The sequence below is a fragment of the Homo sapiens genome, chromosome 6 (genome assembly GCF_000001405.40).
Source record: "Homo sapiens chromosome 6, GRCh38.p14 Primary Assembly".
Lineage (NCBI taxonomy): Eukaryota > Metazoa > Chordata > Mammalia > Primates > Hominidae > Homo > Homo sapiens.
In genome coordinates this window covers 75,475,880-75,492,519 of record NC_000006.12, presented here as the reverse complement: position 1 = coordinate 75,492,519, position 16,640 = coordinate 75,475,880, and the positions used below count along the sequence as shown (strand labels likewise).

The 16,640-nt window shown below is 36.5% G+C and overlaps 1 protein-coding gene across 7 annotated transcripts in view; it reads left to right on the top strand.

Moving 5' to 3' along the window:
* The window catches only part of FILIP1 (filamin A interacting protein 1), a 201,942-nt gene that overhangs the window by 1,281 nt on the left and 184,021 nt on the right, over positions 1-16,640 (top strand). The gene's annotated exons all lie outside the window — the stretch shown is intronic.

Genomic DNA, 16,640 nt, shown 5'->3' with positions numbered 1-16,640 from the left:
GTTGATATAGTTAGTATTGACATCTGGTGGTTTGTAATTGGGGTAGATTTCCATAAAAATATTTTACCTCTAAATGAATATGATGATTTGAATAATTTTTTAGTCTAAGGATAATATCAAAGAAGATATAGAAGCACATTTTAATTGGAATTTTTAAAGTCTATTCTATCAATGTAAAGAAAGAATTTACCCAAAACCAGTTTTTAACATATTATTTGTTGACAAATAAGAATGTATCAACCTTTTCAGAAAATGATCTTCTTTTAAGAAAAGCTAATTAAAGCTTATATAGCATATGCTCAGGAAAATGAAATAGGGCACTCATTTCAGTATGTGTTATGTTTTATAATTCTGTTTACTTGTTTATACAGTACATAAGCGAATCACATATACAAATATGTATAAATAATAGTGCAAAATGCACTCTGGTAAGTTTACTATTAGAGACTGAAACTCCTGGTGCTTTAGTAGAGATGAAATATCTTTGTCTTGAAGGAGTTTGAAAAGTCAGAACTAAATGCTTTACATTTTTCTTGTTTTTATCCTAAGAAGGGTCACATTGTTGACTTAAAAATGTATGTGTAAGGCCAAAATCTACCATTGATTCTAGGCATGTAATTTCTTTTGGAGTCAGTGGGACAGTGTGGCGATAACTAAGTGCAGCATTTGGCCCTGTGTAAAAGTCATGTTTGCTGATGAAGTGAATTTTTCAGTATCATTAATTGTCTTCATTGTTGTACATTTATTCTTGAGAATCAACAGCAATTCAGCTCAGGCTAAACAACACGGTTTCCTCCACTATATGAACAATCAGGCTCTCCACTACAATGCAGATCTGTTCTCCTATTCACTCAAGTTCATAGTTCTGTGACATTTTGGAACTGTCCCTTTCCCCTTTACCATAAAAGTTGTTAGATTCCATTGCCATGTCTTCCACCACACTAATGCCTGTTCTCTTCACCCTAGTTTGGATTATAACAATGCTGCTCCCTCCTACCCCTTGTTGCCATCCAAATCATCTTGCCCATGACCACGAGATTGGTTTTACTAAAGCATTGCTATGTTTGTCTATCTACTCTTCAGTTATCTTCTGGGACTTCTAGTTGCTGCCAAACACCTAGGCTGGGTATTTTGAAAACCTTCCATCATCTGGCACCTACTTAACTTTTCCAGTCTCAATACCATGACTCAACAACAAGGTCCCTCTGCTTCAGGTATTTCAGATTATGGGCCATTCTCCAAACACATACTCAGTGAACATTTCAATACCCCAGCTTTGCCCCAGCTTTTATTCTCCCTGCCTGGAAGACATTTACTCTCTGGTCCTGTAGAAACTTTGCCTACTCTTTAAGACCCAGATCAGGGTCTTCCACTTTCACAATGATATTCTGGATCATACATTTTAGAAGTGATTCTTTCTAAGTTTAGACAGCTTGGTGCTCTGTTAGAATTAGGGTACTTTTAAGTAGGGTTTGCCTCTTTATATTCAGAACAATTTTATGACGTCTATTAGGTGCAATGCCGTATCCTAAGCATCACTTGGCTTTGGAGCTTCTCAGCTGCAGGCACATTGTGGATGTTCCATTCACATTTGTGGCTCTAGATATCTGATGATAAGTACATGAGAAAGTATGGATAAGTATAGAATCAAGAAAAGCAACTGTAAGTTAATAGTTTTTTACTTCAGAAATTTCTCAAGGAAAGTCTTCATGGTTTTACCACGCACAGAAAAATTATAAACACTTTTAACTACACTCATGTACCCAATTGTGGAAATGATGTTGTATCTCTCAGGAATAAAATAGAAAGGGGAAATATGACAGGACTGTGTATGTATATATGCATGCACACATGCACACACACACACACACACACACACACAAATCCTGTGTATCTACCTAGACCTCTAAATACTGTAACTTATATACTTTTGTTATCTTTTGGTGCCAGGTTCTATTTATAGTTACTTTTGGTACAATTCATTTAAATCATGGCTCTTATTTGTGGATCGTGAATTAGAATCTGGCTTTGAACAAGAAAACATTTAAATACGTTATGATCCTTTTTCTGTTGTTTTTCTCTTGATATTTTGAAAAAGACATTTTTCAGTATTTAATTGCTCGTGAAAACTGTAGCCTTATTGAGTGAGATAAAGCAGGAATCATACTTTCAAAGCAATTTGTTCTGTATTCAACAAAAGAAAAACATTCTCTTAGTATTTATATTTTAAGATGGTCAAAGTGATGAAACTTACTCTTTTAAGTGGATATTCAGTAAGAAACCCTATGGAATTTTCCAATGAAATTTGTGAAATATTTAATATGTTCATTAAGCACCGGTTTCCTTGTGGTTATAATTTTTACTTATTGTTTAGAGTGAAACTTTGGGGTTTACACAGTCTAAATAATGCTACCTGTGTTTTCATTTTTTGGCAGGTGAGCATTTTTTCATAAAACATATGCCTTAAGATATAAGATTTTACAGAGTTTGTTTAATCCACATTTTCATTCATTTGTCTAATCTTCCCTCTTTAAACTCGTGGGTTTTAGAAAGGTAGCACTAGGAGAAATGAGGGGGCAAGCTCGTGTTGAGATTTATTTCAACAGAAAGGTTTAAGAGAAAAAAGATTGGTAACAATTTATTAGAAAAATGACATCTAAAAGCCTGCAGTATAAATTCATTTTTACATTTTTTTAATATATATAGCAATAAATAGAAAAAAGATAAGCTAATAAAAATACATTTTGTTTCTTTAAATCTGAGTTGAAGATATAACCAGAAGATGTTCATGGAAGAGGAGTCAGAAAAGGTTAGTAGCATGACTAAGTCAGTCAGATAGCCTGGATTCAGATTTTAGCTCAAGGTGACCTTAGGCAAATTAATCTCTGTGTCTCAGTTTCTTCATCTGTAAAAAGAGGGTAATAATGCTATTTCCTTATGAAGTTTTTTTGAACATTAAATGACTTATAAAATCTATAGTTTATAATTTATTCTTCAATAAATTTAAGCTAGTATGGCTTTATTACACCTTAAATATAGTTATTTGTTTACTTTAATCTTTGTTGCATACAAAGTTCTTGGATGCGGATAGTTTGTGATCTCAACTTCATAGATTATAGGAAAGGCAGGAGAATGTATTATTTAAGTTTGGAATCCTGCTTGGGACATACTTTGCTGCTGGGTACTCTAAGCAGACACAATTTGAACAGCAGCCAATAATTTAGTATGGAATTTATGTTTCAAACTCTCCCTTATCACTCAGCAGTCTGCTGTCTTATAGAACCATTACTAAAAAGGCTAAGAAATCACCCACAGCACAGACTGTTCTATGGTTTCTATATTTGCACTTGGAGATAAAGTGTGTTTATACACAGTGCTTGGGTGTCTGTTTTACAGCCGACTATACTGGGTAATGTACAGCAATGAAGACTTCCTCCTCCATGCAAGAACACATTATTAAATTTATCATTCTTTATTTCTCTCCTTAGATGATTTGTTTTGTTTTACTAACCTAGTAACAGATAAAAATGAAAAGACCAAAAAAGGTCATCTTAAGCTAACTTTAACTTTACTAAATGGAAATGAATTCTTGCGATTCATTGCCCTTAATCCTATTCATTCTTCTTAAATATGAAAAGAAAAGTACATTCCAAGACAAACAAAAAGTGTTATCTCATAAGATGTGTGTGTATGTGTATTCTGCTTAATATTCTGTATACTTAACAAAAATATATAAAGCACCCTTATAAGCAGGGAAGTTTCTTAGCAGCTTTAGTGGCAACAAACCTTATGCAGGACATAAATGGTTTAAATCTGTCAATTTTACTTTATTTTTCCCAGTTGAAAGGATAAGTCTCTAAAAGTTGAGGCAAAACAAATTTTAAAATTGTCATTCTCTAATGAAAACTTTGTGTGGAAAGAAAGAAACAAAGGAAGGTAGGAAGGAAAAGTAAAATAAAGAAAGAAAAGAAGGAAATAACTTTTCCTGGCTTTGCGGAATGAATATATTATAGTGGTACCAGGGCAAAAATATAGAAACCTCAGGAAAGTATATTGGATTATGTTTTTTTTTTTTTCTTAAATGGTCAGTCTATGTTTTAGCTAATGAGAGAAGGGAAAAGGCTACAGGCAGAATATAGCTTTCTCTGGTAGTAGCTGAGGCAGTTTAATTTCAAAGACCAGGCAGCCCGTTGTGGAAGAATTTAGAATAAGGAAAGTCATACATGAATTGAGCAGCTTTAGCTGGCTGTTAACCAGCTGATTGCAGAACTTGAGAAACTCCCAGCACAGAAGTGAAGTAATACAACATAAACCAGCATCCCCCTGCTGCTCTGTCTCTGAGGGCTTTGTTTAAGCCACAGCAACACTGAGACATCAAAAGAAAGTTTGGGTTTTTTTCCCATTTTTGGGAAGTGGTGTCAATGTGCATAATATTGGGTGATTTATGTGTTTCTGAGGCCTGTGAAATACAAACTAAAAAGAATTTTTAAAGCTAATGCAGAAATTATCTCGAGTGATCTGATTTTAATTGAGCCCTTAAGGTTTAAGGTTTTTTCTGTTTTTATTTGCTTGCCTAAATGCTGTTGCCTACCTCCTTTACCAAAACATTGAGGAAACGATGATTGTTGCTTCACTGACCAAGGACCCTATAGTCTGCCCTTGAAAATAGCCTTTTTTGATCTTGTAAAAACTGTAATTGCAATCTTCCCAAGTTAATTTAAAGAAATGAATTATCTGCTTCTTATCTTTGTAAGGAAAAGGTGTAAGAAAGGTATGAAACGGACACATCAGAGTTGGCCAAATGCATTCTTTAAAAAATAATTGGCTGAAGATTTCAGGCCAAAAGAAGATCTGACTGAAAACAATAGACTGCTGGCACCACCAAGACAATGGAGTTACTGCCAACTTGCCCTTGTTTATCTAAAAGATCTATGCAAAAATTAGGTTTTCACACACGCACGTGCACACACACACACAAGTCATAGATGACACAATAATGGGAATAAATGAACATTCTTTTTCTTTCATATACTTACATCTTAAGTAACTCATTTTAGGCCTTGCCTCTTTGACCATGGTACCAAGCACAACAGGAAAGGAAGAGGCATTGCTGAGTTAATAATGCTATTTCAGTGTGGCAGCCTAAGTGCACATGAGGAAATGATGCCCTGCGCCTGTATTTGGAGCCCTGTAGTTACTGTGACGACAACACACACTAATGGAAAACAAAGATGGTCTGCTCATCAGGGCAAGCCAGGAAGAGTTTTGCCAGCTCAGATTTTTCCTAATTATTCTATAAGTCTTGAAATGTGACACTGGAGGTATTCAAAGCTCTTTGTGTTTCATTAACTGTTTAGTAAGGGACACATGCTTGAAGAGCAGCCTGGTATTTGGATCAGGGAGTGGCCTTACATATAAGCTTAACTTTCACTCGCTGTGTTGATAGATATCATCTTCTGGTTTGAATACACCAAACCAACTGGTTTGGCCATAGCCTGTTGTTCGTTCTGGTCTTTAAGGAAGTCAGCTGCATTGGTCGAGTTCACTTCTCAGGGCCCGTCAACTTTTGATAAGACATCCCCAACTTCTACATTCTGCTCATTCCATAAGTAATAATAATAATAATGGCTACATGTAATATATATTATCTATATAATATACAACATATGCAGTACATTTACTATATAAAATGATAGGAATAACTAGCATATACTTGAGAATATTACTATGTGCCAGGAATTGTGCCAAGCATTTTACATGGATGATTTTATTTGCTTCTCGTAACAACCCTATGAGGTACTATTTTTATCACTATTTTACAGATTAGGAAAATGAGGTTATAAATGTTAAATAACTTACCTAGTAGTAGATTTAAAATCCAAATCCAGGCAATTTGACCTTATCTATTCGATAGTTTCAACCACTTTTTAAAATTCAGGCAGTTGTTTATGGAACACCTCCACCTAGATGACTATGAGATGTTTTACTGAAACATGTAGAATGTGACACTGCAAGGTAACAGCTGCCCCTATAGTATTAAAAGATTCACAAAGTGCAAAGAATAAAGAGATTTAGGGTCAGAAGGCTAACAGAGGCTCTTTTCCAGGATCCCAAAGTGGAATCAGAAGCTTCAATGGCCAGTAGAGTTGGGCCACCCTGGATGAGCTAGGCCTGGGGCACTGAGATGCAGAAGTGATTCTTCCAGTTGTTGATGGGGCAATGTGGTTCTTGGTTTCTACACGCTGGGTTGATTCCCAAGAAGAGGATGCCATGGAGCATTTGATTTTGTACCACCTCCTTTGACACTGTTGGGGCTTTTGTCTGCTGTTGCTCCTATTGACAACTCAGAGCCCCACCTTATATTGTAAACTTTGAATGTGCTGCCAGTCTCTACCTTGGTCATAAACATTTAGTTTGTGAAGTGGGTTCAAGAGGGAGTTCTATGAAATACTTATCCCCGTTGTTGGTAGCAATACTTCTTCAAGAAACCTTTGGTGGAGTGTGTGTGTGTGTGTGTGTGTATGTGTGTGTGTGTGTGTGTGTGTGTGTGTTTTGGTCAGAAGGCAGTGAGGAAGGCGGTAGAAGGTGCTCCACATAAAGGCTTGTTATTGGTTCCAAATGACTTTGTTTTGGTAGTGAGTTGCTATTCTGGCAGCATGATGTTCCTTCAAAAAAATAAAATAAAACAGAGAGCTTGCTGTAGTTTAAGAAAAATTGCCTGACGCTTTTCAGCCATTTTGCTACTATGGATCAGAGGCATATTTTATTGGATATTTTATTTAATTCTTTTATCTTTATTTGCCTGCATGATGTCCAAATGTCTGACTATTTGGAAATAATTGAAACTTTTGAGTTTCTATTTGCATTTCTGGCATTTAACTTTCAGATTGTTTGAAGTAAAAGGAGAGCGATTCTAATAAAACTTCGATGGAGCAGATAATGCTTTGCTTTCTCTTATGCCAGTGGCCAGAAAGACTACTTTTCCAGGGTATCACATATCCCAGGTAGTGGGATTGAATATCCCAGGAAGGTGAATGTTTTATATGGGATGGAATATAACAGAATAAATCTCTACTTTCTGAGAAATTCTATTCTAATAAATTGAAACAGTAACTTGTCACAACTATACTAGCACACCCCAACTCCCCATCCCCAAACACACTACATTCATTATTGGTTAATAGCACAGGACTTGTACTGCTACTCACCTGACAGGCTAAACATCTTCCTGAAGCAAATATACTGTTTGCTGTGTGATACAGACCTGTTTAATCCAAGTCAATGAAAAAGAAGTAAAGGCAGAGATGTGTTACATTTCACGAAGGCTGTCTGTTTTCTTGACATAACATCTCTTGATTTCTTTACAATAAACTCAGTTTTCCTTTTTTCTTCTCCTGTCTTTATGTAAAAAGGTGTAATAGTGTCAAAGGAGAAAAAGAACTGTAATTTTTTTTTCACCCACCCAGAAAAAGAGTATTTGTGTTCTCTTCTTTGGAGACAAAGAGTTTGACTGGTTGGCCTCTAGAAGTATTTTTTTCCTCATTCAATTATTCTAAATTTCTTTTGGTACACAACAGCGATAATTTCCACATTAGTCTTTAGCTAATTTTTAAGATATTAACAGCTTATCATATTCATTCAAGAATTATCTAAGACTTCTGTAAGATTTCCTAGTTCTCTTTGCACATCTGCCCCTAGTCTGATTGTGAGCAGGCACAGGGCCTTGAGTACCACAATGTCAATGATTACATGGCTTTGGTCCTGGGGACAGCTATACCTTACAGGAAACCAAAAGGAGTGGAAACCTCTAGACTCTGACCTCACTTGAAACCATCTGATTATCTAGTACTGTGGCTCTCAACACTCTCTGTGCATCAAAGTCACCTGGGGTGCTTTAAAAATGCAGATGCCTGGGCTATGCCCCCAGAGGTTCTGATTTAAATTGGCCTGAGAGGGTGCCCAAGTATTGGTCTATTTTCTAAGCTTTTGTGTGATTTTAATTCGCATCCAATATTGAGAACCTGTTATCGCAATCATTTTAAAGACAGTACTTTAAAAGTACTTTAAAAGACAGTACTTTAAAAGTACTTTAAAAGACAGTACTTTAAAAGTACTTTAAAAGACAGTACTTTCAAATGATGAGTGCCACCTCATCATTTTAAAGAAGATAGTACTAGAATGAGAAGTCACTCAGCTCAAGTTACAAAACCTTCCGCAGGTAGAATTGAGTATGGAACTGTGATTATTCAACCCTTGGTAGTGGGTACTTTCTACACCTTGCAGTGGCTGTGTTCCTGTCTCAAGAGAACTGACACTCAGGATCGTTGCCTGGCTTACTTTTAAGATCTTGACTTAAGGATTTTTGATTACTTTCTGGGTCCCTTTCTATGACCGCACCTCAGTTCTGTACAAGAGTCACATAGGTGGAAAAAGAAGTAAAGCAAGGACCAGAACTTAAGTCCCCTGAGCCCCAGTCTATTACTTTTTTCTATCACACAATCATAATAAACAATAAAGTAGCTAATATTTAATGAATGCTTTCTGTATGTTAGGCACTAACAGTTTCATAAGGCAGATACACATATACTATATATTTTACAGATAAGGAGGCTGAGGGAATTGTTCATCTCCCCCCAGCCCCCAGCAAGCAGGTGGCAAGTCTGGGATGAGTCCAGGCAATTGGACTCCCCAGCCTGTGCGTGTAAGCTCTTAATCACTTTGCTATTCTGGAGCCCACTCTGAAAATATAAGGTGTTGAATGGCAGCTGCTCCCTCATTTCAGCATCAGGGGTCTTGTTGCAGCTGGTTATGGTGACCTTAGTTCCTGCTAACTGGGCTTTCTGTTTGACTAGAGATTGGGTCCTTGCCTTCCCCTCTATTTTCCCAATGACTGGCCCAATTGGAGGCAACCTATTCTCCTCAAGATTTTGTTATGATGCTCTATTTCCCCTCATGACTTTGTTTCTTATTTCCTGTCTTTCCTTTCTCTTGGGGACCAATATAATATTTTATGCCTTACTTTTGGGCACATGTACTTTACCCCAGACATTCTGAACACAAATTCTACTGTCCTGTTTGGATCCTTGACCTTTCCCCTAGTCTTGTGAGTTTGGCTGGGTTCCCCATTTTTCCTGGGATTCCTCTGTCTGGACTTTTATACCTCCCCCTATCTTCTCTCACAATACCAGCAACAACAGGAAAGGATTAATCACTTTGCTTTCCTATACAGCAGGTGCATTGGAAACAAGCTGATCTGTCCTGTGAAACTGACAGGTCAGTGTGTTAATGTACTCCGAAGAACTTTTAAAATCTACATTTTTAGGTAGCATGTACGGAATTAATTTTCTGATTGATTCTGTAAGTTTGAAATTCTATGGAACAGGCTTCTTCACACCTAGAGAAAAATGTATGTGTGTTGTCCAGTAAAATGAATCTTACTAAGATGAAAATCACCAATAGCAAATACTGTAGCACAGATTTTTTTTTTTTGCAATAGAAAGCAAACAAAAAGTGAAAGATTCTTATAATTATTCTGTGACACATATTTACATGTAAATTCAAAAATTCAACCTGATAAATAAATTCCGTTATGACTTGGCACTGTTTTTAGAATCACCTTGAACCAAACAAGTACTCAATAACTGTTTGTTAAATTGAATTCATTAAATGTCATGAATAGAGAAAGTAAATATTAATGACCAGTTTCCATTGATTGAAGTGAACATAATGTTTCCTTGATAAACATGGCAGTAACAGTTAGTGACCATTGATGATTATTTCTCTGCTTCTCAGTTTTCTCTAAACCTTTATGGTCATGTATTGCTTTTCTAACAATATTAATTAAAAATAAACAAATGTTTTAAATGTTCACTAGAGTATCACAGAATAACCAATTCATAACTAAGTGGGAGCTGGACTTAGTAGCTCTAATTAGCATGATGCATACATATTTCCATTAACAGACTAGAATTCTTACTTTAAAATACAGTGGCATAGACATAACTATTGACAAAAGTCTAATTGCAGCTACTAACCCAAAACCACAACCAGGCTGTAGTTCATTAGCTGGAAACGCTCCTATCCTTGGAAATCTATTTTGGAGTTAGGATTGCTCCACTCCTCTACAAGTGGTAAAGCAACAGCTGCCATTTAATTAATGTTTCTGCTGACAGTTCCAGCTGATGAATACCATTGAATTTCCCTATTACCATCAATACTATCTACATTACTCCAAAAGGATGTATTGAGTATAATTGCTTGATTTTGCTTTATTTCACCTTATTTCTTTCTCGCATCACTTCTTCCAAATTCCAATGATGCCATTATTTACATCACCATTCACATCTTCCAGGGAATAAAGTCCCAGTGGAACGCATGTGTTCCTGGTGATGTATTGTGATGGAATCTCACCAAAATGAGCACGTGAAATGCTGAGCTCAGAGAAGAGGACAAGGGGGAAAACCAGATGAAAGTGGCCTGTGGTTTTTCAGAAAGTGAAGAATTTTGTCCTTTTGAGAGAAAGATTAGGGAAAAAAACAGAGGTCTTGTTTTTCTACATAGTATTAGTGAAAGATTAAAATCATCTAATTTAAACTATATTTGGGTTATATTATTATTTCAATTTCTCTTTCCAGACACTTTTTCATAGGAGTTGAATTTCAACAGAGCTCTCACTATTATTGTGTGAGAATTTAGAAGGATTTGGTCTGTGTGAAAGCACATGATTATAGAGTGAGGTCCACTCAGTCTGCTCATCTTAAAGAATGTGTCCTGGGGCTCAATCAGGCAAGGCCCATGTTTTGTAGCTAAAAGAGGGGTTGGATTGATGCTGAACTGATAGAACATAGGATCTAAATGGTGTGGCATCAGATGTTAGAGTGGTTCAAGCTAGCAGCTGGGATCTGAAGGTCTAACATGTGGTTATAGGGTATTCTGGCAGGCGGATAGAGGATGCCTGCATTCTGACACAGGCAGGGAGTCAGTCCACATTTAGGCAAGCTTGTCAGCAGGAGCAGGAAGGAGAGCAGGGAGGTGGGAATCAGGAACAGGTTAGCTGTGGAGGAAGAGCAGTCCTAGAGACTGTGAGTGAGATGCCAACATTGTCATACAATGTCAAAACAACTAAGATGATGCTAAATCCTAGTGGTGGGCTAGAGTTCTTTGTGTCTCTCCTGCTTCACATTTAGTAAGAATAATTTACTCATTCACCAAATATTTTTTGAGACTCGTGTTTCAGGCACCGAGCTAGGGATTGGGATACAATGGTGAATGTTATATTATCTCTGCTCTCTAACAGGAGTTACGGGTAAAACAATGGCAATTTCAACACCAAGTGACTAGTGGGTAAATGGTTTAGTGAGACCACAGAAGTGGGACCACTCACCTGATTTTGGATGGTCAGTGATTGGTCCAGAGACAGTATAAAGTGACTCTCGCTGTGGGAAAGGGAACTGTAGAGGCTGAAAATAAGATAGGGCCTGACAAACAAGTTCTAAGGGAAAGCATCAGACATGAGTGTTATTGAAAAGCTCAAACATCTGATTTGTTACAACAAGTCTACATAGCTGTACAAATAGTGGGGAATTAGTGAGCTGCAGTCTTTCACTTACATGACAATTTTAATGTTTTAAAAAATTATGTAATGAAGAGGGTCTGCTATATACATACATATGCTCATCACAGTTAAATCTTTAGTGGCCATAATGAGGCAGCCAAAGAAGCCTCTTGCAGGCTAGAAAATTCCTGACCCTCAAACCACATTGCTGAGTATTTTTTCTAAACAGTGACTACTCTCAATATGTTTAAAAACAGATGATGAATGCTTCCTATAAAAGTATTTGCTGTAGGACTTTTACAAGTTTGTGCACTTTGAGAAACTACTTACATATATTCAACACTCCACTTCAAGTGCCTAACTGCTGCTGAGGCAATAAACCTAGGTCATAGCCAGAAAATTTTTGGAGCACATGTTGGATAATTTCCTTACCACATATTAAAATGAATTTTGAGCCAGGAGCAGTGGAGGCTGAAGGGAGAGTGTCGATTGAGCCCAGGAGTTCATGTCTAGCCTGGGCAATAGAGTGCAACTCTGTCTCTTAAAAAAAAAAAAGAATTTTAAACCCATATTAATTAAAACACTTAGGCGGTGGTATCAGAATCAGTTCATATCAGATGAAGAGATCAAGGGAAAATAGTGGAAGGTTCAGAGAAGTATATACCTATAAAAATGGTGTACATTTTTAATACTATAAAAATGTAGTATTATAAAAAAGATTTCAAATCTATACTGGAAATATGAATTATTCAATCAATAGGGTTGAAATAACTGGAAAAATATGACATTAAATTTCTGTTACAACTTACACTAAAATATGCACTAGATGGACCAGAAATTTAAGTCTAAAAAAATGAAGGTGAAATACTAACAAAAAAAATTTAAAACATATATAGGTGGGGAAGACAAAAAGCCAGTAAAACATAAGACTAAAACATCTGATTCCATAAAAACTGAATGAAAACTTTTACACTGAAGAAAAACCCCTTATAACCATCATGAACAAAGTTAAAATACAAACAGCAATTTGTGACCAAAATAACCAGGAACAAATGTCCTTAATATAAGACTTTTTTTTTTTTTTTTTTTTTTTTTTTGAGATACAGCTTTACTCTGTGGCCCAGGCTGGAGTGTAGCGGTACGATCTTGGCTCACTGCAACCTCTGCCTCCTGGATTCAAGCGATTCTCATGCCTCAGCCTCGCGAGGAGCTGGGATTACAGGCATGTGCCACCACGCCAGGCTAATTTTTGTATTATTAGTAGAGATTGGGTTTCACCATGTTGACCTGACTGGTCTTGAACTCCTGACCTCAGGTGATCCACTGGCTATGGCCTCCCAAAGTGCTGGGATTACAGGCATGAGCCACCACGCCTGACCAAGACTCTTTTAAATGAAAATAGAAAAAGAGACACAATAGAAAAATTGACAAATGACATAAATAATTTGGAATAAATATGTGAAAAACTATTTAACCTTACTGATAATTAAAAATTTAATTAAAAGAAGATGTATTATTTCAACAAATACATTGACAAAGACAAAAAATTCAATACCCAGTATGGTGAGGGTATGAGGAAGTTGACACTATATGTTGCTGGTGGGAAAACCAACTGCAAAAGTTTCCAGAAAAACAACAATATGTGGCAAAAATCCTTATAATCAGAAGAAAAATAAGGATATTTCCATTTTGAGAAATAAAAAAATCTAAACACATGCAGTGCTTTTGAGAGTACATTGTTTTTTCTTCCTCCTATTGTTCTCAAATCTATTGACTTGTAAAAATTTGGCAGACCTAGAGACTCTTATATGAAAAAACAGCCAATATACTTCTTTCTCAGTTGCTTGATAGGATTTCCTAGGAGGGACCTTGTTAGGATAGGGTTGTTAAAACAAGGCTGCATAGTCCTTAAGTGTCAAGTACATCTTGATAGCAACTTATTTCCTTAGTTATGTATTATTAAAACATAAACTGATAGCCAAAATTGACACATTTATGACTAGATCATGAGGGTGAGGGACCAAGGAGCAAGTGGAAGAAATGGGGCACTGCACCAAACAACTCTTTGCCATGGATCATTACCTAGAATAAAATTGCTCAGGCTCATTAAACTGTTTTGGGCATGAAATACTCTGAAAAAAATTGGTTTACCGTAGTATTTGTAGATACTGGTAGATGCTAAAAGATAATTGACTCTAACCTCTTTTTAGGAAAGATGACAAAGCTGAGACCCAGAAAGTTTAAACTTTCTCAAGGTTATACAGCTTATTAATTCGGACATACGAATTTATAGACAAGCCACAGTGCTGTGGCTCATATCTTCCTAGAATCCAGAACACCACCTGTCTTGCGTTATTTCCCAAGATACCTGTTGTATAAGAGCTCATGATTTCTCTGTATCATCATGCCTCTATCACCACCAGATGTTGGGCTTTTTGGCAGCTCACTACCCATCAATCCTGCCTGTTACTCCAGGGGATGGAGAGAGGCTGATGCTCACCTAAGCTCCAGTTACAGAGTGGTGTATGGGGTGAATGTGTCCTATGAGGTGTCCAGTGAAGGTGGTAAATAATTCTCAGCTGCTTCTCACTGCACTGACAGCAGGGTCATTTTGTGAATGGGTAGGGAAGAGCAATGTGAGTGAAATCTCACTCAAGATCTTGTGTGCTAACATTTTTCTGCTTTCTCCTGGGGAAGCCCTTTTTTGGAAGAAGCCACTCCTGAAACATTACCCCGAGTAAAGCTAAGCATGAAGCATTTTAAGCCAAGCTGATCATCTAGATTATCTTTTGCTCTTTGATCCTGCAAAGAATGTGCTGAGATGAGTAGTAGTGCTGTATCACATAAGTTGTCCTTTTGTTTTCATACATTGGGCGCAAGTGAATGAAATCTCTTTACTTCTCTCATACCCACAGGTAAAGAGAAGTGAGTCCAAGCATCATATTTAATTCTGTTAATTACAATGTAAGTGTAAAATAATAGCACAAACTGTGCTCTAGTTCCAACTTCCGTTTGATGATTGTCAGACCTAGAAATCTAACAGCAGTACATTATTCAATGAATTCTTCCCATTGTCCATTTGTAGCCCCCTTTTCTTTAAACAGTCTAGCCAATTATATTCTCATATCCTTGTTTCCTATTATCTCTTGTAGCCTCCTTGACATAATCACACTGTGACTTGTGGGAATTGTTTCCCTCTCTTCGCCTTTTCCTCTGGGTTCAGGCCTGGATGTGTACAAATTTTGTCCCCCTGCATCACACAAGGACCCTTTCCATTAGGCCTTGTACTCAACTTCCCATGCTTTCCTGAGCTTATTCTTTATTATATCTTATTTCCCTTTTATTCAGAATTTTTTTCTTTCTCTCTATTTTTTTAGGTATTTAAAATATTTTAAATTATTAATATTATTTTTGATGGACAAATTATAATTATATACATTTATGGAGTATAATGTGATGTTTTGATATATGTATACAATGTGGCATGATTAAATCAGGCTAATTAATATTCATCACCTATCATTTTTTATAGTGAGACATTTGAAATTTACTCTCTTATTTTGAAATATATAATGCCTTATTATTGATTGTAGTCATTCTGCTGTGGCATAGATCTCAAAACTTATTCTTCCTGTCTACCTGAAATTCTGTACCCTTTAATCAACAACTCCCATTCCCTCCCTCTCCCCAACTCCAAGCGTCCGGTAACCATCATTTTACTCTCTATTTCTATGACTTAAACTTTATTAGATTCCACATATAAATGAGATCATGCAAGAATGCTTTTTCTGTTATTTCTTCTGCTTCAGTCAGTCTTAGAGCATCTTTCAACATTAATATACATGAAAGCTACACAAAATCAAGGCACTTTTATTAATGTTGTAGAAAAAGTTAGTATTCACAGGGATAATTTTTTTAACCAATAATTAACCTTCGAACTCAATATGTATTATCAATTTCCAATTAAAACTAATAACCGCAATCATTCTCCAGGAAATATCCACCTTGGAGGAAGGACCTAACATTTCTTCCATATTGTTGTATAACAGAACAGAGTTCCAAGAACAAATTGACATTCAGTGAGATCAAACCAGACACTAGGGAGCAGAAAGATGGTCTGTCATGACTCTAGGTTTTAACATTTGTTTTTCTATTTTGGAATTTGGTGCTGTTAGGAGGAATAGTGTCTACTATGCTCAGAAACAGGGAGAACATGGTGTAAGTACAAGGGTTGTAAAGGGTGCTCAATATACTAAGAAAAGGCCAGAATCTTCATTATATAAAGTCCTCAGCTAAATTCCAGATATTTTTCATAAGTGCATTGGAGCAACAGCTTAACTTTAAAAGGAGAGTTATAAATAGGCACGTAAAATATGCATATAGAATAGGTTGAGCACCATTTTATGAAATATTCCTGAAAAGATTCTGCATAATATTGATGTTTAATTACTTTCTTTAACTCAACTTAATTTCTTTATTAATAGTGGTTGACTTGTTTGTTCAGTTTTGTTCATACCAACTGAAGTTTACAACTGATTCAACTGAGGGTATAATCTCTTATGTTTTCTGTGATCTGGACCTGACTACAGAAGCAATTTCCCAGTGTCACCTAAATCCCAGTTAAACTGAATGACAAATTAGGAATCATGATACCAATAAGACCCAATCTCTAAGCTGTCACCTGAATATGATGATCATCAATGTCACTTTTTTTTTTTTTTTTTTGAGATGGAGTCTTGCTCTGTCGCCCAGGCTCGAGTGCAGTGGTGTGATCTTGGCTCACTGTAACCTTCACCTCCCAGGTTTAAGTCATTCTCCTGCCTCCGCCTCCTGAGTAGCTGGGATTATAGGCATCTGCCACCACACCCAGCTAATTTTTGTATTTTTAGTAGAGATGGGATTTTGCCATGTTGGCCAGGCTGGTCTCGAACTCCTAACCTCAAGTGAACCTCCTGCCTCGGCCTTCCAAAGTGCTGGGATTATAGGTGTGAGCTACAGCGCCTGGCCAATGTTACTTTTAATGTAACTATTAAAGCTATTGGCTCTAGAAAGAAAGTAAATGACAGATAATAATAGTTACTTTTAT